This window comes from Homo sapiens, chromosome 3 (genome assembly GCF_000001405.40).
Source record: "Homo sapiens chromosome 3, GRCh38.p14 Primary Assembly".
Lineage (NCBI taxonomy): Eukaryota > Metazoa > Chordata > Mammalia > Primates > Hominidae > Homo > Homo sapiens.
Genome location: NC_000003.12, coordinates 11,803,369 through 11,827,137, shown reverse-complemented (window position 1 = coordinate 11,827,137; position 23,769 = coordinate 11,803,369). Strand labels below are relative to the sequence as shown.

Here is a 23,769-nt window from a genome sequence, read left to right as displayed (position 1 = left end):
TATCAAGCAAATTAGCATTCCATACCCTGAAGAACTGCAGATGGAATTTCTGCTCTAAGGAGCTTCACATTAATAACATGCAGTCACAGTGAGTCAGTGGTAGACTTGAAAAACAACACGTGTGAAAAAGGCAAGAAGGATGTGAAAGAACATGATGTGTTTAGGAGGAAAGCAGTAGACTGATGTGACTGAAGTCTGTGGCTTAATGGCAGGGAAAATAGCCTTTATTATTGGGTGCCAAGGACTACTCTCAATACTTTAAATTTGGTAACTAGTTTAATCCTCACATTAACCTTTTGATTTGGGTGCTGTATCATTGCCCCATTTTACAGATGAGAAAACTGAGGCCCAGAATGGTTCCCTGTCTAAGGTCACTCATCTGGTACATGGTGGACTAGTTTGAATACCAGCTTTCTAAAGGTATCTTGAACCTTTCTTTTTTGTTTTATTTGTTTTTCATTATTTTATTTCCTGAAACACAAGCTTGAACCTTTCTGAGCCCCCAGTTTTCTTATTTGTAAAACAAATAACTATCTCACAAAGAAATTATCAATGAGATAATACGTATAATAGCTTCCAACATCTTTTTTTTTTTTTTTTTTTTTTTGAGAGACAAGGTCTCACTCTGTCGCCCAAGCTAGAGTGCAGTGGTGAGATCATAGCTCACTGCAGCCTCGACCTCCCGGGCCCAAGCAACCCTCCCACCTCAGACTCCCAAGTAGCTGGGACCACAGGCACACGCCACCACGGCTGGCTAATTTCGTTTGTGTAGCGACAGGGGCTCGCTGTGTGCTTCTGCTGGTCTCGAATTCCTGAGCTCAAACGATCCTCCCGCCTCGGCCTCCCCGAGTGCTGGGATTATAGGTGTGGGCCACTGCGCCTGGCTGCCTCCAGCATCTTATCTCATTAATAGTCAGTGTTCAGAAAATGATTGCTGTTATTATTATTTTTATGTATTATTGTTGGTCAGATGGGTTTTCCTCAGGTTGAGAAACTGTTATTTGCTCAATCATCCAGTGATTGATGGACACTTATATTAGCTCCATTTCTCACTGTTTTATTAGCAACACTGCTGTGAATCACTTTGTACAGATTACTTTCGTTGGGAAAGGGGCAAAGGAGGCACTGACTTCCTTGGATGTGTTCTCCAAAGTGGAATTATGTTGTCAGCTATAAAAATTATAAAACTTGTTACATATTGACAAACAATGCCTGTCAAAATTTGCAGGGTGCTGTGGCTCACACCTGTAATCCCAACTTCCAGGCTGCAGTGAACTATGATCACACCACTGCACTCCAGCCTGGGCAACAGAGCCAGACCCTGTTTCTTAAATTAAAAAAAAAAAAAATTAGCTGAGTACTTAGATCAGATGGATTGAAACATGACAGCCCCATTTCATCTGGCCGGTTAAGGTCCTCATGGAATGAAAAACACTTTCGGGCACTCTCCTATGAGAGAGAGAATGGGTTTCTTTAATTGCCAGATTGTCTGAACACAGCCTCAGCTACTTCTAGGAATAAGACGAAGCAGTGAGGAAGTTGCCAGTTGAGTGATTCTTGGGGAAAAAAATTAGCATTCAGTGCCAGCTCTCTAAAGTGTGGATTCTGGATTCTGGTAGAAGCCAGTAAAGAAACGTTTTCTCTGGAGTGGAAGCTAGTAAGATTTATTCTGTGGTGATGAAGCCATCTGAAACCTTACAAGCAGTGTGGTTGTATCAGCATATGGGAGCTGACTGCCTCAGGACTTTGGAAGCCTGCTTCTCTGTGCCTCAGCCGGAACTCAGGTTACTCAGTAGTCATTTGCTAATTTCTGAGAACGCAGCACTCCTGAAGGGATAGAAAGCATGAACAATACCCAAACTTTTTAGACTAGTACTGTGTGTCAGGTATTGTAACATTCATTCAGTCCCTGAAATGTACAAACTAGTTATTGCTCCCCTTTTTCATTTGAGGATACTGATGCCCAGATAAGTTAAGTGGCTTGCCCTGGGTCACATAGCTTGTAAATGCCGAGCTAGCATTTGAACCCAGGCAGTCTTCTTCCTGGAATGCTTGCTCTTAACACTTCACTGTTCTATGAAAGGTCTTTGGTGGTGGGCGTCACTCCTGGTTCACACTTAGGTCACTCCTTCCCCAGGACCCACTGGGTCACACCTCCCCTCCCCACACCCACCCCAGTGGGCCTCAGTTCTGGCTTATCATGGAGGCCTTCCCTGACTGCTACTGCAACTCCACCACTCCCTATGTCTTTCCCTGTTTGTGTTTTCCCCATAGCACTTTCCACAGTCGGCTACACTGTATCTTATTGTTGGTTGGCTGGCTGATCTTTGGTCTTTGTTCCACCACTGAGGATGTGGAGGGAAGGAATTGTTGTCTTGTTTTGCTCCTTCTGTTTGGATGCTTCCAATAGTATGTGACATGTACTAGGTGCTCAGTAAATATTTGATGAGTGGATTATACTGCTTCCTTCCTGAACCAATATAGTGAACCTGAGTCCTCCCTATTACTTCCTACTTTTGTATTTTCTAATGTATACAAAAGGAAGGCCAGGCATGGTGGCTTACGCCTGTAATCCCAGCACTTTGGGAGGTGGAGGCGGATGGATCACTCAAGGTCAGGAGTTCGAGACCAACCTGGCCAACATGATGAAACCCCATCTCTACTAAAAATACAGAAATTAGCCGGGCGGGCGAAGGTTGCAGTGAGCTGAGATGGTGCCACTGCACTCCAGCCTGACAACAGAGCGAGACTTTGTCACAAAAAAAAAAAAAAAAAAAAAATTAGCCAGGCATGGTGGCACACACCTGTAGTCCCAGCTACTAGGGAGGCTGAGGCAGGAGAATAGCTTGAACCCAGGAAGCAGAGGTTGCAGTGAGCTGAGATCATGCCACTGCACTCTAGCCTGGGTGACAGAGTGAGACTCTGTCTAAAAAAAAAATATTTACAAATCATGCATCTGATAAGGGACTAGTATCCAGAATATATAAAGAATTTTTAAAATACAATGGATAGGCCGGGCGCAGTGGCTCACGCCTGTAATCCCAACACTTTGGGAGGCCAAGGCTGGTAGATCACTTGAGGTCAGGGGTTCCAGACCAGTCTGGCCAACATGGTGAAACCCTGTCTCTATTGAAAATACAAAAAATTAGTTGGATGTGGTGGTGTGCACCTGTAATCCCAGTTACTTGGGAAGCTGAGGCAGGAGACTAGCTTGACCCCAGGATTCGGAGGTTGCAGTGAGCCGAGATCATGCCACTGCACTCCAGCCTGGCGACCGAGTAAGACTCTGTCTCAAAAAAAAAAAAAAAGCCGGGCATGGTGGTACACACCTGACCTGTAGTCCCAGCTACTAGGGAGGCTGAGGCAGGAGAACAGCTTGAACCCAGGAAGCAGAGGTTGCAGTGAGCTGAGATCATGCCACTGCACTCTAGCCTGGGTGACAGAGTGAGACTCTGTCTAAAAAAAAAAAAAAAAAAAGTAAAAAGGCAGCTAACAAAATGGAAGAAAATGTTTACAAATCATGCATCTGATAAGGGACTAGTATCCAGAATATATAAAGAATTTTTAAAACACAATGGAAAGGCCGGGCGCAGTGGCTCACGCCTGTAATCCCAACACTTTGGGAGGCCAAGGCTGGTGGATCACTTGAGGTCAGGGGTTCAAGACCAGTCTGGCCAACATGGTGAAACCCTGTCTCTACTGAAAATACAAAAAATTAGTTGGACGTGGTGGTGTGCACCTGTAATCCCAGTTACTTGGGAAGCTGAGGCAGGAGAATAGCTTGACCCCAGGAGGCGGAGGTTGCAGTGAGCCAAGATCATGCCACTGCACTCCAGCCTGGGCAACAGAGCAGGACTCTGTCTCAAAAAAAAAAAAAAAAAAACAACAACAACAACAAAACAATGAAAAGACAATCCAGTTTAAAAACAAGAGAAGGATTTGAATAGCCATTTCTTCAGAAAAGGTATTCAAATGGCCAGTAAGCACATGAAAAGTTGTTAAACATCATAGGTATTAGGGAAATGGAAACATCAATACAAATCACAGAGACGCCATTCTATACCTGCTACAATGGCTGTGATAAAAAAGAAAGGCAAGAACAAGTGTTGAGAATGTGGAGAAATTGGGACCCTCATACATTGCTGATTAGATTGTAAAGTGGTACAGCTGCTTTGGAAAAAAGCCTGGCAGTTCCTCCAAATGTTAAACATAGCTACCATATGACCCAGCAGTTCTACTCCTATATATCTACCTATGAGAAATGAAACATATGTCCACACAAAAACTTGTACGTAGCAGCATTATTCATAATGAATCGCCCAAAAGTGGAAACAGCACAAATGTTCATCAACTGAGAAATGGATAAATAAAATTGGTGCATCTGTACGATGGACTATTATTTAACCATAAGCAGGAGTGAAGTACTGATAAATGCTACAGTGTGATGACCCTTGAAAACATTTTGCTAAGGTCGTAAAAATAACTCCAGATAGTGTATAATTCAATGTGTATAAAATGTCCAGAATAGGCAAATCTGTGGCAAGAAAGTAGATTAGATCCAACCTGGATCTCCATTGTCTAGCACAGCTCCTGGTACTTTGTAGCCAGCCAAATATTCACTGAACCAAAATGACAGCAATGTTTAAATTCAGGCTGGGGATGGGGAATGAAGGGAGTTGGGGAGTGATCACTTAGGAGTATGGGGTTTCTTGTAGGGAGGCTGGAATATTCTAGTATTAGATTGGAGAGATGATTGTACAACTCTGTAAACAGAATTAAAAATACTGAATTATTTACTTTAAATGGATGAATTACATGGTATGTGAATTATATCTGAAAAACAGTCATGAAAATGAATATTATTTTGCCATATCAATATCCAGTTTGGGCTGCAGTCCTTAAACACTACCACATAAAAAACTGCACTGAAATGATCTTTTTTTCATACTGTTTGCTGCCTGAGGTAGAGCCTATATCTGGACAGGCTGAGTATCCCTTATCTGAAATACTTGGGGCCAGAAGTATTTTAGATTTTGGAATTTTTCAGATTTTGGTATGTTTGCACATATATAATGAGATATCCTGGGGACGGCCCAGGTCTAAACACGAAGTTCATTTATGTTTCATATACACCTCATACACATCGCCTGAAAGTGATTTTATATGATATTTTTAATAATATGTGCGACTCACTGCATGAGGTCAGGTGTGGAATTTTCCACTTGTGGTGTCCTGCCAGTGCTCAAAAGGTTTCCAGGTTTGGGGGTATTTTGCATTTTCGGTGTTCAGATTAGGGTTGCCCAACCTGGATCTCCATTGCCTAGCACAGCTCCTGGTACTTTGTAGCCACTCAGATATTCACTGAACTGAAATGACAGCAGTCTTGCAATTCGTTTAAAGGGAGAAAAGTTAGCCGGTAATTATTATCTCCAAGACCCAGCGCTTCCTCTACCCTCCATCCTTCGACTATGCTATATACATATCATAAGTAGTATCTGCTTTACTACTTACAAAGCATTCTCTAATACCTTAACTCTGGGTTCCCCAACCCTTGGGAACCCTGTTAGGAACCAGGACGCACAGCGGGAGGTGAGTGGTGGGCGAGCTTCATTTGTATTGACAGCCAATCTCCATCACTTGCATTACTGCCTGAGCTCCGCCTCCTGTCAGATCAGCAGCTGCGTTGGATTCTTATAGGAGCGCAATACCTATTTGAACTGCATATATGAGGAATCTAGGTTGCAGGCTTTTTATGAGAATCAAATGCCTGATCTGTCACTGTCTCCCATCACCCCCAGAGGGACTGTCTAGTTGCAGGAAAATAATCTCAGGACTCCCACTGATTCTACATTATGGTGAGTTGTATAATTCTTTCATTATATATTACAATGTAATAATAACAAATGAAGTGCACAATAAATGTAATGTGCTTGAATCATCCTGAAACCACTGTCCCCTGGACCCACATCCATGGAAAAATTGTCTTCCACAAAACCTCTTCCTGGTGCCAGAAAGTTTGGGGACTGCTGCCCTAACTCCTTAAATCTGAAAGCAACTTTGTAAGGTTAGTGTGATTAAGCCATTTTACAGTGAAGGACTCAGAAGGTTTAAGTAACTTGACCTCAGTCACCCTGGGACATTGCCAGACTTGAAAGCCAGGGCCTTGCCGCTGTACTGTGCAGCCCTTCACATCTGCATACTTGTAATGAGGTCCCTGACTGCTGGCTGCATGCCTGAATCACAGGGAAGGCCACCTACAGGTGGCTTGCAGGCCTTGGAGTTTGTATCATTTCAAGGTCAAGGAGAAATCCTTTTGGATGCCTATTGTACTGGCAGTTCTAGAGGCATAAAATAAAGTCAGCAGTCAGTTTTAATCCATTGCTGTAGTTTTGTTGAAAACAAATCTCCCAAGGTAAGAAAAATTGATTGTTATGATCAGATGCTGGTTCGTGCTGTGCCCATGATGTTATTCATTTTGTTCTGAAGAAATGAGTCATAAGCCCATTTGCTTCCTATCCCCTGCGGTTGAGCTAGTTCAGCTGCACACCAGTGAGAGAAATTCAGTTCTGCACACATTTATTGATGTATGTGTTCCCTGTGCCAGGCAGTGCACAAGGAGCTAAGGATGCAGACATAAATAAGCCCCGGTCCTTGTTCTCCGAGAGCCTGGAGTGTTTTCTAGGTCCTTTAATCATGGCATGCAATTGTTCTTTTAGGGGGAAGATTTGGATTGTAAAACATAATCCTTGATATTTTAAAATGGTAAATCCTTCTCTCAGAAAGTGACTGTCTAAAATTGAGGAACTTTTTGTTTGTGGAATGTACAGAAAGAAGGAATGACACAAATATTTAGAATTCAACAGTTTTAGAAACTGATCTTTCACTTCAGGGCCAGCCTTGTTAGAGTCAGAATTTGATGACATTTCATCTCTTCAAAGATTAATGGAATCCATTTTTATACGTGTAAGGATTTACACAGTTGGAAGTTAACTCAGCCACCACTCCATTCACATTTGTCACGTCATCATCTGTGTATCCCATAAATGTGTTTTAAAATGCTAGAAAGTAATATGCCAGCATTATAGAAGTGAGGGAAATGGGGGGAAATTATAGAGTAAAATCATCACCTAAAATTTCACTACCCTAATACCGAGAGGCAGTTGGACCTGGGGCATGTTGTCTTTGCACGTCCATCTCCTCATCTGTAAAATTAAGAATAATAGTACTTATTTTATGGAGCTTTGCCATGACCAAATGAGATAGCAAATTAAAGCACACATGCAAAAACCCACAATAAATGTATTTTATTAGAGCAAAAATAAGCATTTTTATATAGTCTCTTTGTCTTGTTTTTCTCATTTTTTATGAAGTTTTTTTTGTTTTGGTATGCTTAAAAAAAAAATTACATAGAGACAGAGTCTCGCTATGTTGCCCAGGCTGGTCTCGAACTCCTGAGCTCAAACATTCCCCCGGCCTTGGCCTCACAAAGTGCTAGGACTATAGATGTGAGCCACCATGCCCAGCCTGTTATACTTTTGTATCTCTTTGTTTCTTACTGCATATTAAATGATCACTTTCCATCTTGTTGTGTGTGATTACTGTCTGTGATAGTAACCATATGCCATCATAGTGCATTCTTTCCCCTGTTGTTGGACATTTGGGATGCTTTCAGTATTATAAGTAGTGCTTCAGTGAGCAATTTTATATATGTAGTATATTTTTACTTCCTGGAAACCTTACGCAAGTTTCTTAATCACTGTCTTTGTTCCCTTGTGTATGAATGGGGATAGAATCCTATCTACCTGAGAGGAGAGCTGTGTGTATTAAATGAAGCAATACCACAACACACTTGGCACAGTGGCTGGTATTTACCAGATGCTCGGTAAACGTTACCTGTGTGTTTCTGTCTTACTCTGTGTTTCTGGCTTATTTCTTTAAGCTTGCTCCAGAGATGGGGTTTCTTGCTTCAGTGCTTTCCAGAAGAATTTTAGCAGTTTATGCAGTCAACAGCAATATGTGAAAGGACTGATTTCTCAACCTCCTCATTAGCAGTGATCCCAGGTTTTAACTATCTAACTCTCTTTCCCTTCAAAATAATAGTGACAAAAACAAGTTCATCCATATTTGAGCAGATTTTTAGGACTGGGACTCGCTTCTGCTCACTCACCTGAACAGTCAGACCCCCTGTACACCAAGATCGGGTTCCAGAGGCTCTTTAGAAGTCTTTTTTTTTTTTTTTTGAGATGGAGTCTTGCTTCATCACCCAGGCTGGAGTGCAGTGGCGCGATCTCGGCTCACTGCAAGCTCTGCCTCCTGGGTTCACGCCATTCTCCTGCGGCCCCCCCCCAAGTAGCTGGGACTACAGGCGCCTGCCACCACGTCTGGCTAATTTTTTTGTATTTTTTAGTAGAGACGGGATTTCACTGTGTTAGCCAGGATGGTCTGGATCTCCTGACCTCGTGATCCGCCTGCCTCGGCTTCCCAAAGTGCTGGGATTACAGGTGTGAGCCACCGCGCCCAGCCTGGAAGTCTGTTTTTCTAAGCTTGCAGTCCCCAGTTGCATTCCACCAAATTGTAGTGTAAGTTGGTCCTTTGAAGCTTAAAACCTAGCATATTTTATTCCTTACTCAATGAAGTACATATTGTTGGTCTTCCTTGTATTTTTACTTTTTCTAAAACAAGCCAACAGTTTGCACTAGGAAAATCCATTGTGGCAAATAATGACCTCTATGATCCCTTCCCCTCTCCAGAAAAAAGAAATTGGCGAGGGTAACCATATGTCCTGGTTTGCTCAGTTTATACTTGTCGTAGTGTGATTATTTATAGCGATCCCTTCACCCTCAGAAGTGACCTAGTTTGGATGATAAATTATATTGTCATCCTAGCCCCAGGGGATTCCTCAGCAGCTGGGTTATCTGCCTACACTTGCCACCTCTCTACTCCCCCTGACAATTTGCTCCCTCTCCAACAAAGGATTCAGCCACATTGCTTTCACCACGCTTGACTCAGAAGGTTCTGCGTGTGTCCAGCCTCTTGTGATTTCACATTAGCCCAGTAGGCATGCACTTAAGTGTGTCCACTTTCCCATTCCTTTCTCCTCCATCTTGCCGATGGTTGTCAGTGGCATTGGCAGGGCACTTTTCATTTGATTCAGAAATGCTTTTGTCTTTCAGAATTAGGTGTTTTTCAGCTCAATTCATCCCATAGGCAAATGTAACATTCCTCATTTCTCATCACTTGCAATTTAAAAAGTTATATCTGTTTTCAATTTCATCTTAAATGCAAACCTCCTCTTACAGAACTTTTAAGCCTTATTTTGCCTTTGTAAAATATGATAAGATTATATTCATCAAGTGCCTCAAAAGCCCTCATAAACAGACAGGTCAACGATGAGGAAGCAATGGCAAGGACAAGTCTACAGTGATGGTGCACAGCTCCTATCTCCTTCATTGGCCACAGGCAGAATTTGGCCCATAAGACAAGACTTTGTAGGTACAGAAGCTTCTGCATTGGAAAAGCTAAAACAAGTTAGCTACTCGCTTGTGATTACCTTGTGTAACTAGGTAACTATAATTTAACTGGCATAAAGGGCTTTGTGATTTGAGAGACCCTCTTTTCCTCCAAACAAGTGCTCACATTTCTTGGGGTAAAGTGTCCAGGTTTTGAGGAGGAAAAGCAAGTGTTCTGATGAGGGATCCTGCCAGAGTGAACCCGTGCGGTATCAGTGTGGGGAGCGTCGTTCATAGGTCGAGAGTGTGGATTCTTAATGGAAGATGTGTTTATCTCTTTGTTTTAACTAGGTGACTTTCGGATGGTGGTTGGAGAAGATAAAACAAAAGTGTTGAATATTGTGAAGCCCAATATAGCCCACTTTCGAGAGCTCTATGGCAGCATACTACAGGAAAATCCTCAAGTGGTGTATAAAAGCCAGCAAGGCTGGCTGGAGGTAACTGTATGTGGAAAATAGCTTGTATTGTTTCTAAGACAAAGGCTATTTGCAGGAAGAAAGTCAGGGGTAGAACAGCATGACTGGTGTGAGAACATTTATAGTTTAAAAAGTAAGTACTGTATGTAAACATAGGCTTCTGTGTATCTGGAATAATGCTAAAAGGTAACAGACTAGTAATAAGAGGCTGCCTTTGGAGAAGGGAACTAGGGGCAGAAGTGGGAGAGGGACTTGTTTTGACCATGTATATCTTTTTTGCCATTGGAAATTATTACCATGTCTATCAATTACCAATCAAAACAAGTGAAAATAAACTTTTAGATCACTCTCATTCCATCCCCAGACCCATTTAGCTCCCCAGAGGTAACTGTACTGACAGTTTGGTGTCTGGTTGTTGTTGTTTTTTTTTCTTTTTTTGGGGGGACAGGGTCTGACTCTGTTCCCAGGCTAGAGTGCAGTGGCACGATCTCGGCTTACTGCAGCCTCAACACCCCCCAGCCTGGGATCAAGCCATCCTCCCACCTCAGCCTCCTGAGTAGCTGGGACTACAGGTGCATGCCACCACACCTGGCCAATTTTTGTATTTTTTTTGTAGAGACAGGGTTTTGCCATGTTGCACAGGCTGGTCTCAAACTCTTGAGCTCAAGCAGTCTGCCCGCCCCAGCGTCCAAAAGTACTGGGATTATAGGGATGAGCCACTGCACCCAGCCTGCTGTCTGTTCTTCCAGATCTTTTCACGTGTACTTTTGTATATGTTTGTATGCATATAGGAAGAGGTTTGGTTTTGTTATACATTAATGGGCTCATACATATTCAAAATTCTCTTCTTTCCCCACTTGTTTTGTTTATTATGTCTGGGAATTTTTCTTTTTGATATATCAAATAAAACTTTCTTATCAAGGTATTGTTTCAATTAATATTAAGTGTTTGTTTGAAAATAAAAACCAGGCCGGGCCAAAGGTTTTTTTTTTTTTCCTTTAATGTAAAGAACACTGTATTTTTCTTCATTTATGCTCTTCTCCATCCACATAGTAGGGGCAACTAACATTGTAATGAGTAATAGATTAATGGAATTTCTAGAGCTAAAAAGGGAATTTAAAAAAATAGGAATTATTTTAAAACAAGAAAAGAATAGAGAGTGACATATGAAATGCGAGAATACCCACCACTCAGTTTAACAGATTTTGCCACATTTGGTTCAGGTTGAGGTTTTTTGTTTTATGCATGTACATGATTTAAAAGCCAAATGATACCTCAAGTTTATAACAAAAAGAGCAGTTCCGTGCTGCATACGTTCCCACATTCTCAGCCCTGCTTACCAGAGGCAGCTGCTTTCGTCTCTATAGCTGATTCTTCTGATATTCACCTCCATGTTCTAAATAATATGCTTCGACTATTATTTCTTGATTTTTTTTCAATCTTACACTTTATTTTTGCCATCCTGGAAGAAGGGGATTTTTTTTACCGTCTTACACTACCCCATCAATTCTTATACCAATTACACACTCACACACATGCACTTAGCACACACATTCTCTTCCCCTTCTACCTCACGCCCTCATGCTTCACATAAAGTTACTTCATATTTTTTGTTAGCTTAATATTCAATGTTTATTTTATTGTGACAGCCTTTTCTTTATTGATGAGCTGTGGCATTATGAAGTTCCTTTTCCTGTACAACTTTGTTTCTCCTGGAGTTAATAGTTGTCTTATTTTTTCAGTTGCTTAGGTCAGTCATCCTCAAACTCTTGACAGATCCGTAAAACTCTTCCCATTATAGACAGATTTATTGGGTATTTTCTGTTTCTTGTTTCTCACAGGAATGTTTTTCCTGGAGCCCCCTGCCCTGTTCCTTTCTCAACTGGTTGTTTTCTAGCTCACTGCACAGCCGCACTCCTCCACCTTCCCTTCATTATCACCCTGAGAATTCCCTTTGCCTCCCCCGTGCTAGTTTTTGGTTTTGTGGGTCTTGCATTTTCCTCTTCCACGGTTTATACTCTGATATTAGTGAAGTTTGTCTTTTATTACCTTCTTAAAGGGTGTGAGGGAGGCAAGTTTTTGAGACTATATACCTCTGAAAATTCTACCCTCCCTTTGATAGATAGTATTGGCTAGATATCAAATTCTAGGGTGGAGATAATTTTCCTTCTTTATTTATGTCTGTTTTCCATTCATTATTCAGTCACTTGGTGGGCTCTTTCTTTCTTTCTTTTCTTTCTTTCTCTTTTTTGACAGGGCCTTGCTCAGTTGCCCTGGCTAGAGTGCAGAGGCGTAATCCCAGCTCACTGCGACCTCAAACTCCCAAGCTCAAGTGACTCTCCCACCTCAACCTCCTGAGTAACTACTGGGACTACAGGCACGCGCCACCACGCCTGGCTGGTTTTTGTGTTTTTAGTAGAAACAGTTTCACCATATTGCCCAGGCTGGTCTCAAACTCCTGGGCTCAAGCCATCCTCCCACCTTGGTCTTCCAAAGTATTGGGTTAACTGGTGTGAGCCACAGCGCCCAGCCTCAGTGGGCCTTTTCTATCTGGAATTTTATAAGCTTCAATTCTAAGGAATTTTTTTTATTATTTCTGTAATTATTTCTTCATACCCATTTTCTTAGTTTGTTCTTCCTGGGATTCCTGTTAGGTGGTTGCTAGACCTCCTGGTTTAACCTTTTTTCCTTTCTCTCTCTCTCTCTCTCTCGTCTCTTCGTTTATTAAATTTAGCTTTATGGGAGAATATTTCTGATTGGTTTTCTAACACTTCTACTAAATTTTTAATTTTCCCAAAATGTTCTTTCTTATAGCTTCCTATTCTTGTATTATGGATGCATTATTTTCTCCTAATCTCTTTAATGATCTTTATTATAACTTTTGAAGATTTTGTCTTGTTCTCTCACACTGTTTTCTTTCTCTTAGTTCCTCTTGTCTGTTTTTACTCTAGTCTGTTATGTTAGAAGCTTTTTTCAAATGTCTGAGTTTCCTTCCTGGCCTGATTTTTTAAATTAATTAATGAATTAATCAATTTGAGAGGGGATTTCACTCTGTCACCTAGGCTACAGTATAGTGGCATGATCATAGCTCACTGCAGCCTTGAACTCTTGCACTCAAGTGATCCTCTCACCTCAGCCTCTTGAGGAGCTGCGACTACAGGCCCATGCCACTATGCCCAGCTGATTTTTTTATGTGTGTGTGTGTGTGTGTGTGTGTGTGTATACACAGGTGTGTGTGTATGTGTGTATATGTATATATACATATATATACACATATATACACACATATATACATATATACACACATATATACATATATACACATATATACATATATACATATATATACATACATACACACACACACACACACACACACACACATATATTTGTACCCATATGATCTGAGACATTAAATTTTTTTTTGTAGAGACAGGGTCCCACTTTGTTGGCCCTGGCTGGTCTCGAACTCCTGGGCTCAAGCGATCCTCCTGCCTTGGCCTCCCAAAGTACTGGGATTACAGGCAAGAGCCACCGTTCCTGGCTCTGGCCTGTTTTTAAAGAATGAGGCACTAAAATACAGGCTGGAAGTTCTTTGTGATATATCAGGCTTGTCAACTGGTGGGCTTGACTATAGGATTATGAGGCAAAGACCTAGCTATTTTGTTTTGTTTTGTTTTTTTGAGATGGAGTCTTTCTTTGTTGCCCAGGCTGGAGTGCAGTGGCGCAATCTCGGCTCACTGCAACCTCCGCCTCCCAAGTTCAAGCGATTCTTGTGCCTCAGCCTCCCAAATAGCTGGAACTACAGGCATGCACCATCACACCCAGCTAATTTTTGTATTTTTAGTAGAGATGAGGTTTCACCATATTGGCCAAGCTAGTCTTGAACTCCTGACCTCAAGTAATCTGCCCGCTTCAGCCTCCCAAAGTGCTGGGATTACTGGTGTGAGCCACTGCACCTGGCCAAGGACCTAGCTGTTTTATTGGAGGATCTCAAATATCAGTGTCTGTAGAATTTCTCCAGAGATCTTCTATTCTCTGGCTAGAGGACAGGGAAGTATAATGTGTCTGTCTACCAACTTTCTAGAAACTGAACAAGGGAAAAGGGCTAGGAATTTTCTCTAACTATAAAAATAAAGGTATCCAGAATCCTCCCTATGGCCTATAAAAGCCTGCATGATCTAGTTTCGCATCAGTTTCTTTTCCCAGGAAACTTACAAGAATAAGACTGGGGGACTGAGCTACAGCTCCCAGTGCTGTATCTGGCCTTGAGGCTGCAACTGAGACTCATCTTCTCCCATCTCTGCTACTCCTCCAGATTCCCTTCACCCTCATCTATCACTTCTGCTTATCTAGACAGGGTGGCCCAGACCCTCATCTCGGAGGAGTCTGGAGGACCCTGGCTACCGCACTTGTCCACTAACCATCAAAATTGGGCAAGGGGTACTCTAAGAGACGTGTATCAGCACCCCAGCTCCTGATGACCAGGGCCGATTGCTTCTGCCAGTGTAGTGACTCATTGCCTTGTCTGCTGGACTTACGGCATGGGATTCTAAATTAATTGGGTGGCAGTCGTAACTTAAAGTTAATGGGATGCTTACTATGTCCTCTGGTAGAAGCATCCCTTCTCTGGGAACTGGGACCTCTAGACCCACAGATCTAGAGCTGTAGTGATAGGAAGCAAAGTGTTCCCAAGTGGGTCCCTGGGAATGACGATAAGCAAGGTCACTTCTCTTTCTACCCTTGGTCCCCAGGCCCATGTCTTCTGCCAGTTGGGAATATAGTACAGCGTAATGGTGATTGATTCAGGATGTGTAGCACAACTCATCCTCGCAGGACAGTGTCTTCAGGCTGTGCCACTGCTCTGAGTTGACACATAAAATTATCTGCCTTACCCTTGCATCTTTTAGGTCTACAGGTGGTGCTCATCTCTGCCATTCGTCCTGGGATATGGTTTTATTTTTTCTTTACTCTTTTGGCCAGGGGGAGAGAATGGCAGCTTCATGCCTTTAATCCCAGCACTTTGGGAGGCTGAGGTGGGTGGATCAGTTGAGGCCAGGAGTTCAAAACTAGCCTGGCCAACATGGTGAAACCCCATCTCTACTAAAAATACAAAAATTAGCCAGGCATGGTGGTGTGCGCCTGTAATCCCAGCTACTCGGGAGGCTGAGGCATGAGAATCACTTGAGCCTAGGAGATGGAGGTTGCAGCGAGCTGAGATCGCGCCACTGCACTCCAGCCTGGGCAACAGAGCGAGACTCTGTCTCAAAAATAATAATAACAAAATATTAGCTTTATTGATGAATACCTCATACACCATAAAAGCTAGTGTTTATAGTATAGTCACAGAGCTGCACAGCCATCACCACAATGTAATTTTAGAATATTTCTGTCACTCCATACCCTTTAGCCGTCCCCAGCTCTCCCCTCACCCAGGCAACCACTAATCCACTTCTGTCTCTGTAATTTTTCTGTTCTGGACAGTTCATATGCATGGAATCATATAAAGTTTTTTCCATATCTGCTTTTTTCTTAAGTTGACATATAATAATTGTATCCATGTCCGCTTTTAAAATGCAATTTGACTTTCACAGTTTAGCTGAATGCTTTCACTTTCGTTATTTTAATGAGAGTTAGTGTAAGGAAAATGAGAATTTACCAAATTTTTAAATCATGTCACCTGGTATTTTATCTTTACACTCATGCTTTCAAGTGAAAATTCCAGTGCATTATTTTCCTCAAGAGAAAGCAGTGGCAGATAAGTACTTTCTAATTTTTTTATATGTCACTCAAGCCGTTGGAAGCTTCATAGGTAAAGCATAACTTAAATATAAGTTTATTCTAACTAATCCCAATATGTGGCCTCAAAACATAAGTCCATAAATGTCATTTCTAAGATTATTTTACATAAATACTCAAATTTGTTGTCATTTTTGTAGCCAAAGCTAAGTAGAGGATGGGGCCTGTGAATTTAGAACCATCCTAGTGATAAATATCAAATATTTAGATAAAAACCTAAATATTTACCCCTCTAGCTTTATGGAGCCATTAAATAATAACATTTTTCTCCTTCTCTTCATAGAGTTTATAGACAAAACTAGAAAATTCAGGTATTTGGTATATACTTTTTTGTTTTTTTTGATACCATCTTGGTCTTGTCACCCAGGCTGTAGTGCAGTGGCACAATCACCACTCATCGTAGCCTCAACTTCCCAGGCTCAAGTGATCCTCCCACCTCAGCCTCCCAAGTAGACAGAACTGTAGGCTTGCACCACCATGTCTGGCTTTTTTTTGTTTTCTTTTTTTTTTTCGTAGAGCCGGATATCTCACTCTTTTGCTAGGGCTGATGTTGAATTTTTGTGCTCAAGCAATTCTCCTGCCTCAGCCTCCCAAACTGTTGGGATTACAGGTGTGAACCTGTGCTCCTGGCCCATTTGGTATGTACTTAATAAATATTTATTCAATTTAAAAAATGGTAGAATGAGTGGATTCTAATTATTAAGAAAGTTCGTCCTATCTGTAAACTCTAAGCCTAAAATGTAATACATTGATCTGATTTTTTCTTACTCTTCTCTTAGTTGAAGTTAAAACCTAAATATTTGTTAAAAGGATACAAGACAGATTCTTCCTTGGGAAATAATGTGATGGGCTGTTGAGGGCAGTGTTACTGGTTCTGCACTTGGCAGGAAATCAATGTTTACAAGATTTTTAAAAATTCATTCCACGAGGCACAGTGTATGAAACTTGGAGTTAGGAAAGCTAGGTCTGGCCTCAGCTCTGTGGCTAACTTTTGATTCAAGGGTTTCTGAGTAAAGTCTGACACATAGTTTTACATGTTTTATTTATATATTTATCTTCAGCACCTTAGTATGTTTTAGAATACTTTGGGAACCGAAGCCGCTGGCATAGTAGCTTTAGGACAACTAAGTTGTATTGATTCAGTTACTCATTTCCTTATTGTTTTTTGAGTACCTACTGTGTGCTGGGGATTAAAAGTAAGTAAGATTAGTTTCTGTCATCAGTGTATTCCTACAGTTTGTGAAATACAGCATACTAAAAGGCCCTACAGGCAGGAGACACAATTCAGATCCCACTTACTCTCATTGGTGATGTGATCAGGGCACGCCAGTCTCCCTGTGTTTGAAATGGGAGGGGTCATCTCAGTGCCTGGATTTGACGCGGCCTCCACGAGTGTCAACTGCAGCACCACTTCCTTTGACTGCTGGATTTAAGACAAATATAAATTTTAAAACCAAAAGTCAGAAATTGATCCTTGAGAGTGGCTTCTATTCTTTTCTCAGGTAGAAATGGAATATTATAGGACAAGAATTGTCCTTTTTGAAGGGACTTAGACTCCTGAACACTTACCCATTCAGTTTCAGAAAAAGAGAGTTTCCTTAGCTTGCTGCCTCGCCAGGGGTGTGGGTGCATATATGTTTGTGTGATTTTTAAAGAGAAGCCCTGAGTTTTGGAGTATTTGTAGGATTTAAAGCACTTCCATAGACGTCGTCTTTTTTTTCCTCCCTTCAGATAGATAAAAGCCCAGAAGGACAGTTCACTCAGCTGATGACATTGCCCAAAACCTTACAGCAACAGATAAATCATATTATGGACCCTCCTGGAAAAAACAGAGATGTGGAAGAAACTTTATTCCAAGTGGCTCATGATCCCGACTGTGGAGATGTGGTGCGACTAGGTACGTTTATGAATTTGATGTTGAGGAAATGCCAGCCATGGGGAAAAGCAGACTTTGTTTGTGATTGGAATGTATTATTTCTTCCTTTTTGTTTAGCGAGATAGAGAGATTGCCTCTCAGAAGAAGAAAGCACTAAAAATTTGAGGGTTTTCTAAATCTGCATTTTTATTTGTTTGAAGTAAGATGGTGAAAATACTTCTGTTTTTAAATTCCTGGATCCTAAATCACTGTCAAAGGGAGAAACAATGTTTCTTTTGGTTCCTAGAGCACAACTTCTAGAATTTATTTAAAAGATGTGTCTGTGTTTTGTGGTGGTCTGAGAAAAGAGATTGGTGGCATTTTTTTGTGCTTTTATAACATCGAGAACACAGCTTTCCTCAATCAACTCCATTTGATGTGTCTCATACATTGTTGAGTACATTCCCTCAGACATGGCCCACGTTCCACAGCATTTTCCCCAGCACTGCCCTGATGTTTATCCAAAACTCTGAACCCAGGCCAGGTGCAGTGGCTCACGCCTGTACTCCCAACACTTTAGGAAGTCCAGGAGGGAGAATCACTTGAGGCCAGGAGTTTGAGACCAGCTTGGGCAACAGAGCAAGACCCTGTCTCTGCAAAAATTACAAAAGTAGCTGGGCATGGTGGCACATGCCTATAATCTCAGCTAACTTGGGAGTCTGAGGTGGGAGGATCGCTTGAGCAGTTGGAGGCTGCAATGAGCTAGGATCGCACCACTACACTCCAGGCTTGGTGATAGAGCAGCCCGTATCTCTTAAAAAACAAACAAAAAAAAGAGCCTGAACCTTATCTTCAGAGACTAACTTCCCTTTAAGGTGCTAAAGGTAATTTATGAGATCAGTCAATCAAGAAATATTTATGAAATTGAGAATGAGTCCCTCTGTCAATTGAGTGCATTCTCCTGTTTTCATTCAGTAAATATTTACTGAGCTCCTCCGCGTGCCAGATAGAATTTCCAGTAATGCTTTGCAAAGACCATCGCACTGCAGTGGATGAGCTGCAGCAGGCGCTCCACGCCCACTCTCCTCCTGGGCCTGCACTAGGTTTGCAGAGTGTGTGTTTAGGTCACCAGCTCCCCATCCTGAAGATAGCTCTGTACGAGGCACACTGTTGTTTGTTTGAACATGATCCTGGCAACAGTGTGATCTGGGCCGTCTCTTTGAGGTGAGTGAAACTTGTTCCTCACTGTGGAATCCGTATGTGTGTTTTCAGAATGAAAGTTTTTCTCGTAGATGTAATCATTTGGTTTTTATCTTTTCATGTTATGGAATTGAGAACCAGAAATCTCAAGCAGATTTAAGTCATAAAATGCCCTTTGAGGGTCAGCTAACCCATCCCCTTGTTTTAAGGGGAAGAGGCACAGAGCTGTTCGGTCATCGGCTTGGACTCACACAGCCGGGTGGCGCCACGGCTGGCTGCTCTGGTCTCCTGGCCCTCAATCCCACTGCCCTTTTCATTGTCACTGTGACAGCAGGACAGAGATAGATTTGGTGGTTTGATTGGCTGACTAGAAAGAATATTTAGTTTCAAGTTTTAAAACTGTTAAGATGACTAACATCTGTTTTGGGTTTTTTTGGTCTCCTTTTTGGTTTTTTTCTCGCAGGGCTTTCAGCAATCGTGAGACCGTCTAGTATAAGACAGAGCACGAAAGGCATTTTTACTGCTGGTAAGAGCTTTGGAAATCCGTGTGTAACATACCTGCTGACTGAGTGGCTTCCACACTCTTGGTTACAGTGTAAAGCTTTGTATCTTTTAGGTGCTTGTGAAATGCTGAGCTTTGATGGCCATAAACTGGGATATTGCAGTAAGGTACAAACAGGCATAACAGCAGCAGAACCTGGTGGTCGAACAATGTCAGACCATTGGCAGTGCTGTTGGAAGCTTTACTGCCCTTCTGAATTTTCTGAGACACTTCCTGTGTGCAGGGTTTTTCCCTCATATTGTTTTATTTATCAAAGTTACAGATGCATAGGATTGCAAAAACAGCAGCATCTGTGCTCCCCCTCCTCTTCCCCTTCTCTGAGACAACTGCTTCCATCTGTCTTAGTGGGTTATTTTTGTTGTTACTGCCATTTCTCTAAATGGTAAGTTTTCGTTGCTCCTTCTCTACGTTTCAACTTTAGGTATCATCTATTGACTTCTCTCTATGGGAGGTTAGAAGTCAACTCTGGCACCCACCCTCATCAAATGTACGCACCCTCCCATCCCTCTGTCCTCCTAATATAGTTGTCTGGTGGTTTTGGCTAATTAGTTTTCAGTTTGATGGTATGGTGAGCCACAGAGTACACCTTTCCTTCCCTGCATAATGTTCTTCTCTCATGGAGAGTGTCTTCGCTGTCCCCTCTAGGGGGTCCCCCATTTACTGTATCTCATGTCTTTCACTTGCTTGGTGCACACTCTCATTTTGGTGAAGCACATTTTCCAGTAATTTCCTGAGAAGGGGAACATGGAAGGCACATTTGGAGACCACGTATGTCTGAAAGTCTTTTTTGTCTGTCTTCACCCATAGTTAATACTTAGGCTGGGTATTGATTAGAAATCACTTTCCTTTAAAATTTTGAGATCATTGCTGCATTTATCTTTTACTTCTAGGATTGTTGTCTATGTCTAAAGCCAATCTGATTCTTAATCCTTTGTGTATGTTATTTCTGGAAGCATGTTAGGTCTTTATTTTTCCCCAGTGCTCTGAATTCTCTCAGTGATGTGCTTTGATGTGAGTCTGTTTTTATCTGTTTTATCTGTTTTACCGGGAATTCATTGCCCTTTCTGTTGGGAAACTCAGAATATAAGCATATAAGAAAAATGTTTTAAATTTTTTCTTTAATTTTGTCCCATCTGTTTTCTCTGTTCTCTTTCTGGAACTCCTTTTATTCAGATATTGCACCCCCTAGATTAGTCTTTGGTTTTCTTTCTTTTGTCTTCTATTTTTTATCTGTTTTTCTTTTGCTCTGCTTTGGAAGATTTTCTCGAATTTCTCAACTTTAGCTTCCAACCCTTCTGTTGAGTGTTTATAATTTCCAGGAACTCTCTCTTTTCTTGCTGTTCTCTGAATGCTCCTGTTTTTTGCATCCTATTCTTGTTTTATGGCCTAAATATTTGACATCTCTTTGGAGGACAAAGTGGCTGTATCAGTTCATCGTCCCACAAGCAGAGTAGGAGAATACTCTTTTCTTCCCATTTTTTCCAACATTTGGCATCATCAAGTGATAGACTTTTCTAGTTCAGGCTTTCTTCATGCAAGCATCCATTGAGCATCTCTCATGTGCCAGCTGCTCGGGATACAAAAGTGAACACAACGCTGCGTTAGTCTGTTCTCATGCTGCTAATAAAGACATACCTCAGACTGGGTAATTTATAAAGGAAAGAGGTTTAATTGATTAGCAGTTCCACATGGCTGGGGGTGTCTCAGAATCATGGCGGAAGGTGAATGAGGAGCAAAATCATGTCTTACATGGCGGCAGGCAAGAGAGCATGTGCAGGGGAGCTCCCTTTTATAGAACCATCAGATCTCGTAACACTTATTCACTATTATGAAAACAGCACAGGAAAGACCTGCCTTCGTGATTCAATTACCTCCCACCAGGTCCCTCCCACGACGTGGGGATTATTACAATTCAGGGTAAGATTTGGGTGGGAACACAGAGCCAAACCATATCAAATGCTATACTGACTTGCAGAGGCGTATAATTTAGAAGGGAAAAGAGACATGCTAACAGAAATTTGCAAGAGAGGGAGAAATAGCACAGAGGTAGCCCAAAAAGGGGAGTGATCTTTCAACCTAATTCTAATCCCTGGGTTTGAGATTGCTGGGGAGCTGGTATGGTCACACCTCTCAGTGTCTCATAGCCCAGCTGCTTGGATACTCCTCTGAGCATTTGGCCCTCAAGGACCGTGTTGCCCTCCTGAATCACTGGAAAGATTCAACAAGGCCAGGCATGGTGGCTCACACTTATAATCCCAGCACTTTGGGAGGCCAGGGCGGGAGGATTGCTTGGGCTCAAGAGTTCAAGACCAGTCTGGGCAACACAGCAAGACCCTGTCTCTTTAAAAATAACAAAAATAGGCCAGATGCGGTGGCTCACACCTATAATCCCAGCACTTTGGGAGGCCAAGGCAGGAGGATCACTTGAGTCCTGGAGTTTGAGATCAGCCTGGGCAACATGGTGGAACCCTGTCTCTAAAAAAATAGAAAAAATAGGCTGGATGTGGTGACTCATGCCTGTAATCCTAGTACTTTGGGAGGCCGAGACAGGCAGATTGCCCGAGCTCAGGGGTTTGAGACCAGCCTGGGCAACATGGTGAAACCCCGTCTCTACTAAAATACAAAAAATTAGCTGGGCGTGGTGGCACATGCCTGTAGTCCCACCTTTGAGCGGCTGAGGCAGGAGAATTGCTTGAACCTGGGAGGCGGAAGTTGCAGTGAGCCAAGATTGTGCCACTGCCTCTGGCCTGGGCGAGAGTGAGACTTCGTCTCAAAAAAAAAAAAAAAAAAAAAAAAAAAAGGGCTGGGCGTGGTGGTGCGCGCCCGTAGTCCTGAGCCCAGGAAGTCGAGGCGGCATTGAGCTAAGAACGCACCACTGCACTTCAGTCTGGGTGACAGAGTGAGACCCTGTCTCAAAAAAAAAAAAAATTATAATAATAAAAACATTGTATAAAAGTTTCAACAAAGACTTAGTAGCACTTGTGTCACATCTGCTGAACTAAAGATTTTCCTACCATTTGGGTGCATGGCTTTGCATTTCCAGTTAAGATATTCATTTAATCTATGTTCCTGCTAGTTTACTCTGGCAAGACTGAAGATGAGGTACTTTTGTTTGTTTGGGTGATTCATGCTGTTAATCTGAATTTTGCATGATTGCCTTTCCCTTGCCATGATCCTCCTTGGGTGAGGCTTAATGATTTGTTTTGTTGTTGGCGTCCCATGCTATAAGGAATTATTGGAATTATTAGAATTATTGTTAATTATTTTTCAGTTGTGACAATGGTGGTGTTATGGAGCTTTTTAAAAAATTCCCTTTCTTTTAGAGATGCATACTAAAATAATTCCAGATGCAATGATATGTTGTCTGGGATTTGCTTCAAAATAAAACATGGCAGAGGGCAGTGGGTAATGGGTAGATGACACAAGATTGGCCATGAGCTGATATATTGTCAAAGCTAGGTAAAGATGCATGGGGCTGTTTTATACTCTTCTGTCTGTTATTTAAGTTTGAATTTTTCTCTAATAAAAGGCTGAAAAAGATCTTCTTGACACCTTCAACCTGAAATGAGCCTTTGGTCCTCTTTCCACTCATTATTTCTACTCACCAGCAGAGGGCAGTTGATCACAGAACCCACAGCTCAGCTGTCCTTGTGGCCCTGGAGTGCTGATGCTGCTTCCCCTGAGTGCTTACTGCTTGCTTCCCCTTCACTTTTTTTTCTTTTTAATTTTTAAAACGTTTAAGGAATACAAGTGCATTTTTCTTACATGGTGAAGTCTGGGCTTTTAGTGTACCCATCATCACCCAAATAGTGAATATTGTACCCAATAGGTAATTTTCCAACCCTCATCTCCTCCCACCCTCACACTTTTTATAGTCACCAGTGTCATTCTATTCTGTATGCTCATGCATACACATTGTTTAGCTCCCACTTAAAGTGAGAACATGTGATACTTGAATTTCTGTTTCTGAGTTATTTCACTTATACACGTGGCCTCCAGTTCTATCCATCTTGCTGCAAAAGACATTATTTCATTCTTTGTTATGGCTAAGTAGTATTCAAGGTGAGATATAGATGTAGATATATACACATTTTTGTTATCCAGTCCTCCATTGATGGACACTTTGGTTAATTCCATATCATTGCTATTGTGACTAGTGCTGCAGTAAACATACGAGTGGTTTTTTTTGTTTTTGTTTTTGATATAATGATTTCTTTCCTTTTGGATGTATACATAGTAATGGGATTGCTAGATCAAAGGTTAATTCTATTTTTAGGTCTTTAAGAAATCTCCATACTGTTTCCCATAAAGGCTATACTAATTTAGATTCCCTTCAACAGTGTATAAGCATTCCCTTTTCTCCACATCTGCACCAACATCTGTTTTTTGTTTTTTGTTTTTTTTTGTGAGACAGAGCAACTGCCTCAC

The 23,769-nt window shown here is 41.8% G+C and overlaps 1 protein-coding gene across 20 annotated transcripts in view; it reads left to right on the top strand.

The window, feature by feature from the left end:
• The window catches only part of TAMM41 (TAM41 mitochondrial translocator assembly and maintenance homolog), a 124,990-nt gene that overhangs the window by 19,748 nt on the left and 81,473 nt on the right, over positions 1–23,769 (top strand). For 5 of the 20 annotated variants that reach the window (NR_158710.1, XM_017005725.3, NM_001284401.2 and 2 more), the window contains 3 exons: positions 9,801–9,946; positions 17,456–17,621; positions 19,243–19,305. Coding sequence is in view for 10 of the 20 variants with exons in the window: in XM_017005725.3 (XP_016861214.1) it covers positions 9,801–9,946; positions 17,456–17,621; positions 19,243–19,305 (375 nt within the window). In the remaining 10 variants the exon portion in view is untranslated. Of the gene's footprint in view, positions 1–332; positions 421–9,800; positions 10,847–16,240; positions 16,363–17,455; positions 22,882–23,769 lie in introns of those variants that run through there. The other 15 variants (NR_158713.2, NR_158715.2, NM_001366031.2 and 12 more) reach the window with 11 other exon arrangements.